General features: G+C 49.6%; 1 protein-coding gene across 5 annotated transcripts in view, besides 2 other annotated features; it reads right to left on the bottom strand.

The window, feature by feature from the left end:
* Positions 1–18,780, bottom strand: part of UBE2L3 (ubiquitin conjugating enzyme E2 L3) — a 74,588-nt gene that overhangs the window by 28,420 nt on the left and 27,388 nt on the right. For 4 of the 5 annotated variants that reach the window (NR_046082.2, NR_028436.3, NM_001256355.1 and 1 more), the window contains exon 2: positions 2,659–2,754. The exons of the other annotated variant lie outside the window; for it this stretch is intronic. Coding sequence is in view for 2 of the 4 variants with exons in the window: in NM_001256355.1 (NP_001243284.1) it covers positions 2,659–2,754 (96 nt within the window). In the remaining 2 variants the exon portion in view is untranslated. The remainder of the gene's footprint in view (positions 1–2,658; positions 2,755–18,780) is intronic. 5 annotated transcript variants of the gene reach the window in all.
* Positions 4,068–4,881: an enhancer, noted in NCBI's record as "H3K27ac-H3K4me1 hESC enhancer chr22:21945023-21945836 (GRCh37/hg19 assembly coordinates)". NCBI's record gives its function as "activates a minimal SCP1, AML or CMV promoter by ChIP-STARR-seq in primed H9 embryonic stem cells {active_cell/tissue: H9 hESC(primed)}" and the evidence as "EXISTENCE:reporter gene assay evidence [ECO:0000049][PMID:30033119]".
* Positions 7,399–7,458: a silencer, noted in NCBI's record as "silent region_13509". NCBI's record gives its function as "represses an Ori minimal core promoter by ATAC-STARR-seq in GM12878 lymphoblastoid cells {active_cell/tissue: GM12878}" and the evidence as "EXISTENCE:reporter gene assay evidence [ECO:0000049][PMID:35858748]".

Raw genomic sequence — 18,780 nt, 5'->3', positions numbered from 1 at the left:
TGAAGTCTCTAGGAAGTACCTCCCCAGCCTTCCCTCCCACCTGCCCTCCTCTGTGCACTACGACCAGGGCAATCGCTAGGTGGCTACCCAAGGACAGCACCACTCTCCACTAAGGACCAGGGCTGGGCTGCCATGCCTTCATCGGCCTGGCTCTACTTTTACCCCAACTGGGCAGACCTCAGGTGAGTTTGTATAGTAGATTCCCATGCTGGCCCAGCCCGTCCAATGCAGGAAGACCTAAAGCCCAGGTTGGGGTACAAGTGTGGACCCTGGGGATGTCAGATGTCAACAATGCCTTAACTGCTCTGGAGAAGGAAGAAGACTTCATTGAAACATTCCTCATACAAACCCAGGGGCCCTGGAAGAAAGCAAGGGAGAGGACCGAGAAGAAGTGGTATACACAGGGACAAGAGCAGCCCTGGCTGTTGCTTACCGTCTCCAAGGTGAAACTTTGGCCTGGATAGCTCCCCAGAGCCTCAGCCCAAGCACACTTGGATTCTACCAGCCAGCCTCCACCTTTGCCCTAGTAAGATCTTAGCCCACTGCTCCATAGCCCCTGCCAGCGTGAAACCAGAGGGAGGCCTTTGCATGAGTTGGGGCAGAGCATGCCCAGCAGCAATCTACCCGTGGAGCTGGCTAGCAGGCTCTCAGGCCACTAAATTCTCAGGGCCAGACTGCCCAAGCCTTACCACTTAAAACCATTCCATTCATTTTTATCATTTTCCAAAGAGCCACAGATTAACTGTTCATTTCTTTGCTCAGTAGACTACACAATCTCAATTAGAAAAGGGACAAGAGGTCAGATGGTCCCGGCCATCTTCAGGTCCCTAGAGTAGGCAAGGGCTGCACTCACAGGCCAACCCCTCCCATGCAGAGGTGTCTCTGCCACCCACACCCTTTGCCCTGAGCCCTAACACCATCAAGCCTAAAGAAATCTAAAGGACTCATCTTCAAAATCAGACTGGAAGCTCCCAGATTTAAACATTCTGAGCATACTAAATCATTACAAAGCATATCTTTCCTTAGTTATCCAAATGATTATGGAAATAAACTACAAATCCAATAACTGCTGATCAAATTCAGGGACTTAAAAAAAAAAAAGCATGACCTTATAACCAGCATCAAGAAGAAAGCATCTACAGGAGGGAGCATGCTCCATGCTCACCTTATAACCAGCATCAAGAAGAAAGCATCTACAGGAGGAAGCATGCTCCATGCTCACCTTATAACCAGCATCAGGAAGAAAGCATCTACAGGGAGAAATCATCTACAGGAGGAAGCATCTACAGGAGGAAGCATGCTCCATGCTCATGACCTTATAACCAGCATCAGGAAGAAGCATCTACAGGAGGAAGCATGCTCCATGCTCTGCTTTGGCAAAGCAGCCAATCCATCCATGAGAACAAATTATATACAGGACAGCGGCAGGCACAGGGCAAGGGCCAGAGGCTCAGATGTGCAAAGTGGGAATGAAAAGGAACAGAGAAGGTGAGTGGATGAGGAAGAACAGGAAAGGAGGGCACTCACGCAGGACAAGGGTGTGAGCTGAGGTAGCTGAAGGCTACACAATGACCAAGTGAGGCCGCCTGGTGGACAGATGGTGCAGCTTCCGGGGAGAAGGCAGGAATGGAGACAGGTGTGGGAATCCTTCATGTCTGGCATAATCATCTATGATGCCGAAAGTAGTAGGGTCCCGAGACAAAACAGAACAGGAGAACAGCAGGAGACCAACAAGAGTCATGTTTAAGAGTGAGGAGGAAGGAGTGGCAGAACAGGAGCGAGTGGCAGGCTGGTCACAGGACTGGGGGCTGGAATGCTGCCCGTGCTCCAAAAGCTCAGGAGGCAAGCAAGGGCCATGATGCCAGCACTGCCGAGCTAGAGGTGTGACAACAGTGGGGGCAGCCTGTGGGCTGGGTGTGACGTGGTTTCAGGAGAGTGAGAGGAAGGGGGATTGCAAACTGGAGTTAATTATAAGACAAGCCTCTTGAAGGGGAGGGGATCAAAGGATGCAGAAAAGAGTAGGCACTAAGAGGGTGCTAAGGAAAGCCATCGTTAGGAGGGCCTTGAGCCCATCAGAAGGCAGAAGACTGTGAGATGGGGGAGCTGGGCTGTGGGGGCAGACACTGGAGGCATAAGCCCCAGAAAAGACATGGGGTGAGGGGAACATGTGGGCAATTAGGAAAAGGGACTTGAGACAAATGGAAGGCACAGGTTGGAGGGGACCAGGAATAAAGCCCGAAATACAGGTATCCAAAGGGTTAGAGACATGAATGCAAAACCAAGAGAGAAAGCAAAATATCTAGAGGGGAATGCTTGTCCCCTCCTGAGGAGCTCAGAGAAGAAGGTCCTGCTGATCCATCAGGCCAGGCGCAGGGAAGTCAGGAAAGAGCAGGAGCACAGACACACTCCTTTTCTCTGTGTCTACAGATCTGCAAAGCTCAGGACTCCCTGAATTTGACAAAACGAGTGCCAAGATGTGACTCTACTCAGGACCCAAGGCTACACTCCCTACCTTATCACCCTAGAGCGACAGCCACTTCTGTGCATCTGCTGGCTGCCTAGACTAAGAGCCTACTAAGGAGCAGAAAAACAAGCCCAACAGCACACACATCACCTTAAAGAATAATCTGGTAGGAAGTGGAAGTGTTCAATACTCACAGGAACAATAAGCCCTTGCCAAGTCAATAAATTAGCTTCATCAACCTGGATGTTACGGAAGTTTTTCATCCCACATTTGCGGATTTCTTCAAGCTCCTGTTGATTGACAAAGCATAAAGGGGTGTCAAATAGGGGAAAGCACCACATATTAAGATCCCTCCTGATGCCCTCAAATTAAACCAAGTGCCAAAAATGCTAATGACAAAATTGGACAGTGAGGACTAAACTGTGCTTGGAGTGGTTAAGGAGGCATGGAGCTGCCATGGCGGTCCCCTCTGCAAGGTTGTTGCCTCTCCCCATGCCCCAGACCAAGACAAGCCCCCACCTCAGTGAACCCCCCTGAATAGGACAGGGGGAACCATGCTTCTGCAGACGTACCACCTCCTCTTTGGGTTGGTCACCATGGCTGTTTAAATCCCTCAGCACCCTGCATAGGGCAGACATGTGGCAGGAGCTATCCTGAGGTGCTCTACACCTGATACCTTCCAATCAAGATTCATTAAGCACTGATTATGCACCGGATGCTGAGAAGCTAAAGATGAATAAAACTGGGGACTGGGAACAAACCAGACACAAACGCATATCCAGTTTTCTACCCAGTGCTATAAGTGTGATTTCAGAAGGACTCCACCTCAACATGGGCACACAGCAAAGAGAACCATCCAGTCTGGGACTGGGGTGGGAGTGGGGGGGTGGGGACGGGAAACCTTCACTGAGCCTGTTTCCTCAGCTGCAAAACAGACCCAGAGTGCAGAAAAGGAAAGGGAAGCCATGTTGTGGGCAACAGGACCCCTTGCAAATATGTGGGGTTATTGTTGTATAAACAGTCAATGCAGCAAGTGCCATTTCACCCAGAAAGCACAACTTTACGACTTCAGGGTCCTGCCTGAGATGTCTTCAGAACTGTCTGTCACCTGTTTTTCAACTGTGCACCAGCCTGACATTTCCCATTGCCTCCAACATCTCAGTGAATGCCTGGCAGGCGCTATAACCCAAACCACCCAGCAATGCCCTCCTGCCAGAACACCAGCCTCGCCAACATTCCTCCACTCTGACACATGAAGTGCCACTCTACCCGCCTCAGCCCGGCCTCCCATCCAGTGGCACAAAAGCCGCCTCCACACCTGTCAGGCACCTTCTCTTCTGCAGCCCGAGCACCATCCAGCTGAGCCCTGCCTCCTTCGCCAGGCTGCTTCCTCTGGCCCAGCTCCAGCACCCTCCAGAACCTCCTTACGTGGTACTTCAACTCACAGTGGCTTGGGGGCTCCCTATCAGCCCCCACATCAAGCCCAAAAGATCCTTGCACCTCATACTTCCATCACACAGTGGTAGTTTAAAAGGCACCCTGAGGCTACACAGGCAGGGAAGGAAACAATTGGCAAGGAAGGGGGAACCGGAGCCCAGGTTACTGGTTCTGAGTAGGAAGATGTGCTGGGCGCCCGGCCCAGAGCAGCAGAGAGGGAGAGTGCAGTGAATGAATACACGGAAGAGGTGGAACACACTGGTGCTTCATAGCAGGCAACAGGCACAAGTTTCCCCCCACAGGGTGCTCCTGCCTGTCACCCTCATCTGCCCACCACAATCACCTGGACTTGGGCCCAGCCCCAGAAATTCTGGTCCAGCAAGTGTGGGTGGAGCCTGAACATAGGGATTTCTCACAGGCTATAGCTGTGGTGAGAGAAGAGGCACTGCTGGGAGCGATGATGGATCCATTTCTCCCTGAGGAGGCGTTAGCGGCATGGGCTGCAACCTCCTGCAGTGAGGAATGGGGTGGCCTGGCCCCTCTCCACCTGCATGAGGCCCCTCTTTCCCTGCATAAGGAGGTACGGAACCTGAGGGACCACTCCAACCTGCCAACTGCCACCTGGTCCTCCTGCTCACAAGACTCATAAGAAATGCTCCCCTGGGGATTATGAAGCCTGGGCAGACTCAGAAAGGGGAAGAGATCTCACACCCACACTGCCACCTCCTTCCACTCTCCAAATAGAATGTAAGCTCAACAAGGGCAGGGATCAGGAAGCCCTGGTCCTGCCAGCGCCTGGCTCACAGTGGTGCTCAAACATGTGCTTAATGACCAGGTTGGTGGGTGGATGGGAAGCTGGGGCTTTGGGAGGAAAAAGGAATCTGGGGTGGGAAGGATTTTCTATAAATACAGTTCCAATGCTGTGTTTGGCTTTTTTGACCTTGGCTCAAGATACTAGAGTAAGATTCTTGGCTAAGGACAGGGTATACCATGCACGTCCCTTAAGGCTGGAGTCCTAGCAAACAAAATGTTTTAAACCAAATACAGATAGGAAAAAAATATGCCACACAGAACTTTGAAACTAGACAACTAAAAAAAGAAGAAACAACAGTGAAGATATCTAACATTTATGGGACAAAACAAATTTTAAAATCATCTGTAAATATACTTTATGGTTTCAGAAATCCACACTCCAACAGTATAAAGTATGGGTGATGGCTGAGTGCGTTGGCTCACGCCTGTAATCCCAACACTTTGGGAAGCCAAGGTGGGTGGATCACCTGAGGTCAGGAGTTCGAGACAAGCCTGGCCAACATGGCGAAACCCCATCTCTACTAAAAACACAAAAATCAGCCGGGTGTGGTGGTGGGCGCTTGTAATCCCAGCTACTCGGGAGGCTGAGGCAGGAGAATCGCTCGAACCCGGGAGGCAGAGGTTGCAGTGAACTAAGATCGCACCACTGCACTCCAGCTTGGGCGAAAAGAGCGAAACTCTGTCTCGAAAAAATAAAAAAATAAAAAAATAAAGTAGGGATGATAAACACAAGGTAAATTTCACAAGAATTATAAAAATATGGCAAGATGGAACTCAACTGTAACATGAGAGTGAAAAACTGTATCTTGCTCAAGAAAAAGGAGAGGAAGCAGTCAGTGAGGAGCACTAAGGGCAGGGGTGCAGAAAGGACACTTACTGGTGCTTTGGTATCAAGGAGATCCAGGGGATCCACAGACAAAGATAAAAGAAATACTGCCATGGGAGTGAGCCACACACCTGGCCAGAAAGAAGAATGGGCAACCCTGAGGATGCTAATGACAGCAGGGTTGGGAAGCTCAGAGAATCCTAAGTAGGGTTATCACATAAACTCCCAACTTACCTTGCCGTCAAGTTAAGCTCTCCAAAGACAGAAAAGGCAACCTCCTTTACATGATTCTAACCAACAAGGAAGAACTGATTATAAGGCAAAAGTGAGAGAAACAGGCAAACAAACAAACAGGCCCTGACATCTTCAGAGAATGATGAGCATACCATAGTAGAAAGTTTCTCAACAGGGTGTTGCTGGCATCCAGATACGACTCTGCACTTGAGCCTCCCAAGCCCTTACCCTGAGACAGATGCCAGGCACTGTGACCAACCCACCCCAATTTCCCAACATCCTCTACAGCTTCTACTGAGAACCACGGGCACTATGAGTGGCCAGGATGCTAAAAGACCTGCACTGCACAAGACGGTCCTGTGGACAGAAACTATTTAGCCCAAAATGCCAATCATGCCGGGCGCAGTGGTTCACGCCTGTAATCCCAGCATTTCGGGAGGCCGAGGTGGGCGGATCACGAGGTCAGGAGATCAAGACCATCCTGGCTAACATGGTGAAACCCCGTCTCTATTAAAAATACAAAAAAAATTAGCCGGGCATGGTGGCGGGCGCCTGTAGTCCCAGCTACTCGGGAGGCTGAGGCAGGAGAAAGGCGTGAACCCAGGAGGCAGAGCTTGCAGTCAGCCAAGATTGCGCCACTGCACTCCAGCCTGGGTGACAGAGCGAGACTCCGTCTCAAAAAAAAAAAAAAAAAAAAATTCCAATCATGCCTCCACTGAGGAAAACAACTTCAAGAAGATAAATTCAGGCCAGGCGCAGTGGTTCACACCTGTAATCCCAGCATTTTGGGAGGCCAAGGCAGGCAGACTGCTTGAGCCCAGGAATTCAAGACCAGCCTGGCCAACATGGCAAAACACTGTCTCCACTAAAAAAAATACAGCCCGGGTGCAGTGGCTCACGCCTGTAATCCCAACACTTTAAGAGGCCAAGGCAGGTAGATCACGAGGTCAGGAGTTCAAGACCAGCCTGGCCAAGATGGTGAAACCCCGTCTCTACTAAAAATACAAAAAATTAGCCGGGCGTGGTGGCAGGCACCTATAATCCCAGCTACTTGGGAGGCTGAGGCAGAGAACTGCTTGAACCCAGGAGGCGGAGGTTGTAGTGAGCCAAGATTGCGCCACTGCACTCCAGCCTGAGTGACAGAGCAAGACTCTGTCTCAAAAATAAATAAATAAAAATAAAAAATAAAAAAAAGTAGCCAGGCATGGTGGTACATGCCTGTGGTCCCAGCTACTTGGGAGGCTGAGAGGTGAAAGCGGAAGAATCACCTGAGCCCTGGCAGTCAAGGCTGTGCAGTGAGTCAAGATTACAACCACTGCACTCCAGCCAGGGCAACTAGAGTGAGACCCTATCTCAAAAAAAAAAAAAAAAAAAAAAGAAAGAAGAAAAATTGGAATCATTCAGAGATCAGTTCCATCTGAATATCTGAGACTCAAAAGGCCAGATGACTCAAACCCTCAAGATGGTTGTAAACCCTCAAGCAAAACTGTGCCCCGATAACTGAGAATGGTCCTGACAGTGAAGAATTAGGGAAGGAATTGAAGGAAACCAATGTAAATTCCAAGAAGTGGAATTCAAAAGGATGTTACAAATGACAGAAGAAAGGACCTGATAAAAACCGCAAGAGCAGCCCAGCTCTAGAACAGAGTTAGGAAGACCAAAGCCAAGAATGACAGATGCTTACAAATAACACTCCCACAAAGGTTTGTTTCAGTTCTGCTCAGAGCAAGAAGCAACCCAAGTCAGCTGCTCAGGGCTGATGGTGCAGTGCTGACAAAGAGAGAGTTCAAGGGAAAGCACCAGGCAGCTCACACATTCCTTCTCTTGATGGGGACAGCAGGCTTCCCAACCAGGGCAGGTGGTGCAGGAGAAAGAGAGCAATGCTTCTCAGAATGAGGTCCACTTCGGAGCCCAAGTAGACTTCAGTGTATAGAGGGGAACTGAAAAAGCCCAGGGGTGCCACCCAGCTCCTGAAAATGGAAAACACCCATGCCCCAAACTCAACCCCAGAGAGCTTGATGCCCACTCCAGGGCAAAGTGTGAAGCATGGCAGAGAGGGATGGTTACTTAACAGCTTTGCAAGCACTAACAGGAGAGATGGGCCCTGGGCCCCAGCAGAAGGCCACGGACTCAAGTCCTGAGAGGAGATGGGAGAACAGGACACTGCTGTATATAGCCAGTGCTCAGTCACACAGCTCAGATGTACACACCTGCGTCTTGGCAAAGCAGTTAACAAAGTTCCTCTTTTGCTTCTTTTTGGGGTCTACAATGAGGCCTAGAAAACTGTTCAAAATCTCCCCAGGTAACCCTCACACAAGGCCAGGTTTCAGAACCCCTCAGGAGCCACTAATCAAGAAATCTAGGCGAGGCGCGGTGGCTCACACCTGTAATCCCAGCACTTTGGGAGGCCAAGGCGGGTGGATCACGAGGTCAGGAGATCGAGACCACATGGTGAAACCCCGTCTCTACTAAAAATACAAAAATTAGGTGGACATGGTGGCGCCTGCCTGTAGTCCCGGCTACTCGGGAGGCTGAGGCAGGAGAATAGCTTGAACCAGGGAGTCGGAGGTTGCAGTGAGCCGAGATCGCGCCACTGCACTCCAGCCTGGTGACAGAGCAAGACTTCGTCTCAAAAAAAAAAGGAATCTATGCCAGCGCCAGGCGTGGTGGTTCATGCCTGTAATCCCAGCATTTTGGGAGGCCAAAGCAGGTGGATCACTTGAGGCCAGGAGTTTGAGACCAGCCTGGCTGACATGGTGAAACCCCATCTCTACTAAAAATACAAAAATTAGCCAGGCATAGGGGTGCATGCCTGTAGTTCCAGCTACTCGGGAGGCTGAGGCATGAGAATTGCTTGAACAAGTGAGACAGAGGTTGCCGTGAGCCAAGATCACACCATTGTACTCCAACTCCAGCCTGGGCGACAGAGCGAGAACCTATCTTAAAAAAAAAAAAAAAAAAAAAAGGCCGGGCACAGTGGCTCACACCTGTAATTCCAACGCTTCAACACTCTGGGAGGCTGAGGCGGGTGGATCACTTGAGGACAGGAGTTTGAGAGCAGCCTGGCCGACATGGTAAAACACTGTCTCTACTAAAAATACAAAAATTAGCCGGGCATGGTGGTTGACTCCTGTATTCCCAGCTACTTGGGAGGGTGAGGTTGGAGAATCACTGGAATCCGGGAGGTGGAGGTTGTGGTAAGCTGCAATCACACCACTGCACTTGAGCCTGGGTGACAGAGCAAGACTCCGTTTAAAAAAAAAAAAAAAAGGCTGGGTGCAGTGGCTCAAGCCTGTAATCCCAGCACTTTGGGAGGCCGAGGTGGGCGGATCACTTGAGGTCAGGAGTTTGAGAACCAGCCCGGCCAACAAGGTGAAACCTCATCTCTACTAAAAATACAAAAATTAGCTGGGCATGGTGGCGTGCACCTATATATAGTCTCAGCTACTCGGGAGGCTGAGGCAGGAGAATCGCTTGAACCTGGGAAGTGGAGGTTGCAGTGAGCTGAGATCACGCCAGTGCACTCCAGCCTGGGTGCAGACTCCCAGAGTGAGACTCCGTCTCAACAAAATAAAATAAATAAAATAAATCTAGGCCAGGAGCCAGGGGCGGTGGCTCACACCCGTAATCCCAACACTGGGTGGTCAAGGCAGGAGGATCACTTAAGCACAGGAACTCAAGACCAGCCTGGGCAATACAGCAAGACCCTATCTCTACAAAAATAAAAAAATTAAAAAATTAGCCAGGTGTGTTGATGTATGCCTGTGGTCCCAGCTACTCAGGAGGCTGACTTGGGATGACCAGTTGAGTCCAAAAGGTTGAGGCTGCAGTGAGCCATGATGGTGCCACTACACTCCAGCCTGGTCAACAGAGCAAGACCCTGTCTCAAAAAAAGAAAAACTAGAAAAGAAATCCAACAGCACTAGACGACCCTTCCCCCAACAAAATATGTAGGAATCCTCCCATCCAATATTTCCAGCTAAAACTCTTTGGTGCAACCCAGTAATTCCAACTAAAGCTCTTGGTGCAACCCAAATGAGCAGTGTGCAGAATCCTACCAAGTCAGCCTGGTGACTTCCCCCCTCTATGTCTTTCCCCAGGATGTCTTCTGGAAGGATGTCCCTAACTGTCCTGCCTATCACCAGCCCCACATCCCCAACATGCTCATCATTGAAAGCCTCTCTCAAATGCCTGTTCCTCTAAGGAGCTCCCCAAGCCCTGGCTAAAAGGGATGCTCCTTTCTCTCAACAGCCACTACAATGTTTCTGTACAAAATGGATAAACAGAGGCTGGATCAAGAAGAGCTGAGGAGAATCGAATGGCTTTAGAACTGGTGGCCTGAAGTCACCCTGGTGGGAAGTGGGCTGAGAGAGATGTAGTTAGGTACCACATATCAGGGAAGGAACGAATACAGGCTTAAAGACCAAACCTCTAAGGATCCTGGATAGCAAAACCACACCCCAAGTCACAGAATGAAATATTTTAGAGATCCAGTAAAGACCTGGACTTGGTTCCAAACACTTAATTTTTCACCAAGCACAAGGCATGAACCTTAGCAGCAGCATGAAAAACTGACTGGTTTAGCTGACCAATCGTTTGTGCCATGTTTAGCGTCCAGGCCACCCTGAACTATTCAGAGCCAAATGCTGTGTCCAGTTCTGGACACCATACTTTAGAAGACCACATCAAATAAGGGCTGCTCAGGACAAGAACAGCAAGGACCATGTCCTACCAGGAACAATCAAAAGGTCCAGGAACCTATGGCCTAAAGAAATGTGAAGATGACATACATCTGTCTTCAAACGTTAAAAAGTTCACCTGCTGGTTGGACGAAGTGGCTTATGCCAGTAATTCCACATTTTGTTGTTTTTTGTTTGTTTGTTTTGAGACGGAGTCTCGCTCTCCAGGCTGGAGTGTGGAGGCGTGATCTCAGCTCACTCCAACCTCCGCCTCCCAGGCTCAAGTGCTTCTTATGCCTCAGCCTCCTGAGTAGCTGGGGCTACAGGCACGCACCACCATGCCCAGCTCATTTTTGTATTTTTAGTAGAGATGGGGTTTTGCCATGTTGGCCAGGCTGGTCTCCAACTCCTAACCTCAAGGGATCCACCCGCCTCGGCCTCCCAAAGTGCTCCTGTAATCCCAGCACTTTGGGTTGCCGAAGCGGGAAAATCACTTGAGGCCAGGAGTTGGAGACCAGCCTGGGCCACACAGTAAGACCTCATCTCTACAAAAAAATTAAAAAATGAAGCGGAAGGATTGCCTGAGCCCATGATCATGCCACTGCACTCCAGTCTGGGTGACAGAGTGAGACCTTGTCTCAAAAAAATAAAAATAAAATAAAACTTAAAATTTAAAATTTAGGCCGAGGCCGGGTGTGGTGGCTCACGCCTGTAATTCCAGCACTTTGGGAGGCCAAGGCAGGCAGAACACAAGGTCAGGAGTTCAACACCAGCCTGGCCAATATGGTGAAACCCCATCTCTACTAAAAATACAAAAATTAGCCAGGCGTGGTGGTGACACCTGTAGTCCCAGCTACTCGGGAGGCTAAGGCAGAAGAATCGCTTGAACCCGGGAGGTGGAGGTTGCAGTGAGCTGAGATCACCCCACTGCACTCCAGCCTGGGTGACAGAGCGAGACTCTGTCTCAAAAAAAAAAAAAAAAATTTAGGCCAGACACGGTGGCTCATGCCTGTAATCCCAGCACTTTGGGAGGCCAAGGCGGGCGGATCACCTGAGGTCGGGAGTTCGAGACCAGCCTGACCAACATGGAGAAACCCCGTCTCTACTAAAAATACAAAATTAGCCCAGCATGGTGGCACACGCCTGTAATCCCAGCTACTCAGGAGGCTGAGGCAGGAGAATCGCTTGAACCCAGGAGGCAGGAGGTTGCAGTGAGCCAAGATCGCTCCATTGAACTCCGGCCTGGGCAACGAGTGAAACTCCACCTCAGAAGAAAAAAAAAATTAAAATTTAAAAAGTTCACCTGCAAAGGATTCAACCTTCTATATGAGTAAAGAAGAAAGAATTGGGGCCAGTAAGTGTTCACTATCCCAGGCAGCTTTTGACTCAGTGCCAAACTCTTTAATGCTACCTTCACGTGGTCTAAGCCCCCCTGACTCGGGGCAGCAGTCGTCATGTCATTATAGATACTCAAATGGGTGGGGCAGACAGGGCTGCCAGTGGCCAGGGCTGTCAGAAAGAAGCCACCTGCACTGGGCAAGACTGTACTATACACCCTCTTGAGTCTCCTCTGAAGTCAGTGCCAGGAGCAGGTGAACAGACGTGCAGAAGAATAACCAGTGGGGCCAGTCAGGGATGCTTCAGATGTCACAGCAGTACTATGGGCAGCAAGTCTCAATGCAAGGACACTGGTACAATGTAAACAAGCATATTCCATACCACTGTGTCATTTTATATCTGTTAAATGGCAAAAGGCCTGTAGTATCCCTAAAGGAAAGTAAAGCTTAAGGCCACTTTTCTTGGCTGTTGAGGGTGGGTTAAAAGAACTGAGAAACGCTGCTCTAGGAACCTTTAGGTCACAGTGAGGAAAGTCTAGCAGACACCAGTGGAGGGAACAGCTTTGTGGAAGACAGGCTCTGAGATGGGCCTTGAAAGACGGGGGAAGACAGAACTGCTAGAGAACAGGTGTCCATGTGTGGGAAATGTGTATGCAGAGACATGGAGGGCAGAAATCAGTGGGGGCGTTAGGGAAGCAGAAAGGAAACCAGTTTAGCTGCAGTGTTTACCAACTCAGGGCACTCATGATCAGGGCCAGAACTTTCAGCCAGGGTGCATGGCCAAGCCCCTGGGGGCTGTTTAATACCCCTATGCAGAGAGGCAGGGGAAGGGCTTAGATGGGTACAGGGGAGAAGGAAGGAGAGCTGACTGTGCCTAGGCGCCATCTAGGACCTGCTTATTGCATCAGCCTCCAGTACAAGATGGGTACCTTTCTGAGGGGAGTGCTCCCAGATGACTGTGATGTGCAACCCCTGCTCTGCTTAAGAATCACCATATTGAGGGCCGGGCACGGTGGCTCACGCCTGTAATCCCAGCACTTTGGGAGGCTGAGGCAGGTGGAACCTGAGGTCAGGAGTTCAACAGCAGCCTGGCCAACATGGTGAAACCTCGTCTCTACTAAAAATACAAAAATTAACTGGGCGTGGTGGCAAGCGCCTGTAATCCCAGCTACTCGGGTGGCTGAGGCAGGAGAATTACTTGAACCCATGAGGCAGAGGTTGCAGTGAGCCGAGATCGCGCCATTGCACTCCAGGCTGGGCAACAATAGTGAAACTCCGGCTCAAAAAACAAAAAACTACAAAAATTAGCCAGGAGTCATGATGCATGCCTGTAATCCCAGCTACTTGGGAGGCTGAGGTAGGAGAACAGCCTGAACCTGGGAGGCAGAGGTTGCAGTAGACCGAGATTGCACCACTGCACTCCAGCCTGGGTGACAGAGCGAGACTCCATCGCAAAAAAAAAAAACAACAACAAAAAAAAACCCACCACATTCATACCACCCAGTTTCTTGGCAAGGAAAAAACTGGAGCCTTGATGAATGCAGTGTCATTTCTACAGCTAGAAACAAGCTCCTAAAAGGACTAAAACCTCCCACTGAGCTAAGCACATGGAAAAAATCCCTCTGACTACAAGTCTATAAGCACCGAAACCCAGACGTTGTTCTGAACTGTTTTTTTTTTTGTTTGTTTTTTTGTTTTTTTTTTTGAGATGAAGTCTCACTCTGTCACCCAGACTGGAGTGCAGTGGTGCGATCTTGGCTCGCTGCAACCTCCGCCTCCCAGGTTCAAGCGATTCTCCTGCCTCAGCCTCCTGAGTAGCTGGGACTACAGGCAGGTGCCACCATGCCTGGCTAATTATTTTTGTTTTTTTTTTTCAGTAGACATGGGGTTTTGCCATGTTGGCCAGGCTGGTCTGGAACTCCTGACCTCAGGTGATCCACCTGCCTCAGCCTCCCAAAGTGGTGGGATTATAGGCATGAGCTACTGGGCACAGCTTGTTCTGAATTTTTTTTTCTTTTTTTTTTGAGACAGTTACACTATTGTTGCCCAGGTTGGAGTGCAATGTTGTGATCTTGGCTCACCACAACCCCCGCCTCCCAGGTTCAAGTGATTCTCCTGCCTCAGACTCCCGAGCAGCTGGGATTACAGGCGCCCGCCACCATGCCCGGCTAATTTTGTATTTTCAGTAGAGTCAGGGGTTTATTCATGTTGGTCAGGCTGGTCTCGAACTCCCGACCTCAGGTGATCTGCCCATCTAGGCCTCCCAAAGTGCTGGGATTACAAGTGTGAGCCACCGTGCCCAGCCTGAAGGTTTTTTTTTCCTTTAAGTGAACACCGGCCAGCACAGTGGCTCACACCTATAATCCCAGCATTTTGGGAAGTCAAGGTAGGAGGATCGCTTGAGGCCAGGAGTTCAAGACCAGCCTAGGCAACATAGCAAGATCCCATCTCTACAAATAATAAGGATAACAAAATGGCCAGGCATGGTGGCTCAAATCCCAGCACTTTGGGAAGCCAAGGCAGGTGGACTGCTTGAGCCCAGGGGTTTCAGACTAGCCTGGAAAACATGGCAAAACCCCATCTCTACCAAAAAATGCAAAAATTAGCTGTGCATGGTAGTGTTCACCTATAGTCTTCAGCTACTTGGGGGGCTGAGGTGGGAGAATTGTTTGAACCTGGGAGGCAGAGGTTGCAATAAGCCAAGATTGCACCACTGCACTCCAGCCTGGGCAACAGGGTGAGACTCCATCTCAAAAAAAAAAAAAAAAATTAGCCGGGCATGGTGGCACACACCTGTAGTCCCAGCTACCCAAGAGGCTGAGGCAGGACGATCCTTTGAGCCCAGGAATTCGAGGTTATAATGAGTTATAATGAGTTATGATCATGCCACTGCACTCCAGCCTGGGCAACGGAGCAAGACCTTGTCTCTTGAAGAAAAGAGGCCAGGCATGGTGGCTCATGTCTGTAATCCCGGCACTTTGGGAGGCTGAGGCCGGCAGATCATATGAGGTCAGGAGTTCGAGGCCAGCCTGGCCAACATGGTGAAACTCCATCTCTACTAAAAATACAAAAATTAAGTCCGGTACAATGGCTCACACCTGTAATCCCGCATTTTGGGAGGCTGAGGTGGGGGGATCACAAGGTCAGGAGTTCGAGACCAGCCTGAACAACATGGTGAAACCCTGTCTCTACTAAAAATACAAAAAACTTAGCCAGGCATGGTGGCACATGCCTGTAGTCCCAACTACTCGGGAGGCTAAGGCAGGAGAACTGCTTTAACTCAGGAGGCAGAGGCTGCAGTAAGCCGAGATCGCGCCACTGCACTCCAGCCTGGGCAACAGAGTGAGAGTCTATCTCAAAGAAAATAAAAAGAAGAAAGAAAAGAAAAGAGTAATTCCAACAAGAACAGAAAACAAAGAGATGCTGGGAAAGGGGTAGCCATGGCTTGAGAGGAAGTGGTCAATTATAAGGCCATTCTGCACTGTTTACAATTCATAGTCCTGAGATGGGCAAGTGGGGCATATTAGCCCCATTTCACAGATGGTAAAGCCAAGGCTCAGAGATGTCCAAGTCAAAGAACTTGTATAGAGCATGCCCAGGACTAGAACCTGCACTGAAATTGCTCTTTTTTGACTATCTCAGCCACCCAAAGCAGTGAGTTAATGCTCCCATTAGAAACGGACAGAGCAGGTTTTCCTGTTTACTCTGTGGGATCCCAGGAGGGCTTAGCTTGCTCTGGAATAGTATTGACCAATATTTACATCAACAAAAACATGAACATATTCAGTATTTTCCCTAGTCCTGCACAGCTAGTCATTATGTGCCTGTGTTGTGCAAGGAATATTTCTAGGCTCCTACTGCTCAGGCAAAACAAAACCTGGCAGATGGAGCTGGACATCTGAGGAAAGTTACATAAACCTGCCTTAAATCTACCAAATTCCAGTATAACTGGTCTATCAAAGTAAATAATTGTAACAGAAATGCAAACTTTCCAAGCTTGCATAAGACAACCGTTAGCAATGACACTAAAATCATGACTTTTTTTTTTCCCCCTGAGACAGGGTCTTGCTTTGTTGCCGACGCTGGAGTGCAGTGGCATGATCACGGCTCACTGCAGTCTCAACCTCCAGAGCTCAAGTGATCCTCCCACCTCAGCCTTCTGAGAAGCTGCGACTACAGGCATGTGCCAATATGCCCAGTTAATCATTTTATTTTTTGCAGAGACAGGGTCTCACTATGTTGGGCAGACTGGTCTCAAATTCCTAGGCTCAAGTGATCCTCCTGCCTCAGCCTTCCTAAGTGCTGGGATTATAGGCATGAGCCACCGTGCCTGGCCACTAAATCATGACTTAAATGTAATTCAATATACTGAAAATCTAAACATAAGCCTCATGGCCTTCTAATGCAATTCTCTCATTTCAACTAACATTTAGCTAAGGGGGCAGGACCCATGCCAAGACATCATCCCTTCCATAGGTCAGCAGTATGGTAGCTATCTTACATTTAGTTATCATCATAACTAATTACACCTGGGGCTGGGCATGGTGGCTCACGCCTGTAATCCCAGCACTTTGGGAGGCCGAGGCAGGTGGATAACCTGAGGTCAGAAGTTCGAGACCATCCTGGCCAACATGGTGAAACCCCCGTCTCTACTAAAAATACAAAAATTAGCCAGGCGTGGTGGCGGGCACCTGTAGTCCCAGCTACTCGGGAGGCTGAGGCAGGAGAATTGCGTGAACCTGGTAGGCAGAGGTTGCAGTGAGCCGAGATCACACCATTGCACTCCAGCCTGGGTGACAAGAGTGAAACTCCATCTCAAAAAATAAATAAATAAATAAATAAATAAATAAATAAATAAATAATACACTTAGCTATGATCATAACTTTATGAAGTCATCTCATCATCTGCTGGACAAATCAGGGCACTGAGGCTCAAAGGCACAACACTAAGGAGTCAAAGGCAGAAATCTACATCTGAACTCTTACTCTATCACAGCACAGTGCTTCTCAGAGGTTACAGCACACTCCTTCTCAGGTGGTCATTCTAAGAGGACATGACAAAGAAAACACTCAACAGAGGCTTAGAGGAACGCACTGCCCACAACCTCCACAGTAAGCATGGGGGAAGCATGGCCAAAGCTCCAACTCAGCAGGCCTTGACACCAGCTTCTGGCTGCCGGGCCTCATTCCTGGAAGGTGTTTCCGTGTCCATCTGTACATGGGTGTGCCTGGCATTCCTGACCTCCATTACAAACTCCAGAGTCCAGCACCCCCCTACCAGACTGACAGCTCCTTGAGGGCTGGGACACCGACCTCTTCAAGTCTGTCCACAACAGACTCAACCACACAAAGCCTGACACAGGACAAATGGGCACGACGGGAACTGCCTGTGTAAAACTCGTGGAGAATCCTTCAGGAAGCTTAGGTTTTCTTATGCTGACTGTTCTTTTTTTTTTTTTTCTTTCGAGACAGAGTCTTGCTCTGTCACCCAGGCTGGAGTGCAGTGGCGCAATCCCGGCTCACTACAAGCTCCGACTCCCGGGTTCACACCATTCTCCTGCCTCAGCCTCCCGAGTAGCTGGGACTACAGGCGCCCACCACCACGCCCGGCTAATTTTTTTTTGTATTTTTAGTAGAGACAGGGTTTCACTGTGTTAGCCAGGATGGTCTCGATCTCTTGACCTCATGATCCTCCCACCTCAGCCTCCCAAAGTGCTGAGATTACAGGCCTGAGCCACCGTGCCCGGCCGCTGACTGTTCTTAATGAGAGGCGTGCTGGTGTGAAACACTTTTTTATAAGCCATCTCAGACGGGTTCAGAGGCTATTCAACCTCTGAGTTACACCCTCTTCCTCACCGTGAGTCAGGTGGTCTCCTCTCAGAAAGATGGAGCATCACATGAGCCCTGACATTAGCCCATGAGCCCTTTGACATTAGCACCTGCTTTGGTTGCAGATGTGCCTGCTGGGATAAGGGCTGTCAAAAGAGAATGTTCCCCGCTCTGCCTACCTATGCTAGGAAAGTAGGGACAAAATCTGACAAGAAAGTGAAATACAGAAAACTATAATCAACACAGCCCTGGAAGTGTTAAAAACCAAAACAAACAAAACCCAAACAGCCACCGAATCTGAAATGAACCCTCTTCTTCTCCATCTTGTCCCTTCCTCAAGACCAAAAGCAACCATCTAAAAAGCAGGAGCAAGGCCCAGAGAGCAGGGGACCTTGATGTTGGGCCTGGCTCCACCACTGACTTCAGCCTCCTCATCTGTAAACAGAGGCCACTGGTGTCTGCTTTCCAAGATCCCTCACACAGCTCTGGAATTCTAGAGTATGTGTGCAGCAAGGGTCAGAAGGAGAAACTACACAGCCACCAGAAGCAACTTTCTTAACTTTCTGCTTCAAGGTTGAAAGAGAAGACAAGGGCTGGGTGCGGTAGCTCACGCCTGTAATCCCAGCTATTTGGGAGGCTGAGGCAGGCGGATCACCTGAGGTTAGGAGTTCACGACCAGCCTGGCCAACACCATGAAACCCCGTCTCTACTAAAAAATGCAAAAATCAGGCCAGGCACGGTGGCTCACGCCTGTAATACCAGCACTTCGGGAGGCCAAGGTGGGTGGATCATGAAGTCAGGAGATCGAGACCATCCTGGCTAACATGGTGAAACCCCGTTTCTACTAAAAATACAAAAGATTAGCTGGGTGTAGTGGCGAGCGCCTGTAGTCCCAGCTACTCGAGAGGGTGAAGCAGGAGAATGGCGTGAACCCAGGAGGCGGAGCTTTCAGTGAGCCAAGACTGTACCACTGCACTCCAGCCTGGGCAACACAGCGAGACTCCATCTCAAAAAAAAAAAAAAAATTAGCCAGGCATGGTGGCACACGCCTGTAATTCCAGCTACTCAGGAGGCTGAGGCAGGGAGAATTGCTTGAACCCAGAGGTGAAGGTTGCAGTGAGCCAAGATCGTGCCACTGCACTCCAGCTTGGGCGACAGAGC

Source organism: Homo sapiens, chromosome 22 (genome assembly GCF_000001405.40).
Source record: "Homo sapiens chromosome 22, GRCh38.p14 Primary Assembly".
Taxonomy (NCBI): domain Eukaryota; kingdom Metazoa; phylum Chordata; class Mammalia; order Primates; family Hominidae; genus Homo; species Homo sapiens.
The sequence above is the reverse complement of the archived record's forward strand: the minus strand, read 5'-3'. Positions and strand labels throughout refer to the sequence as shown.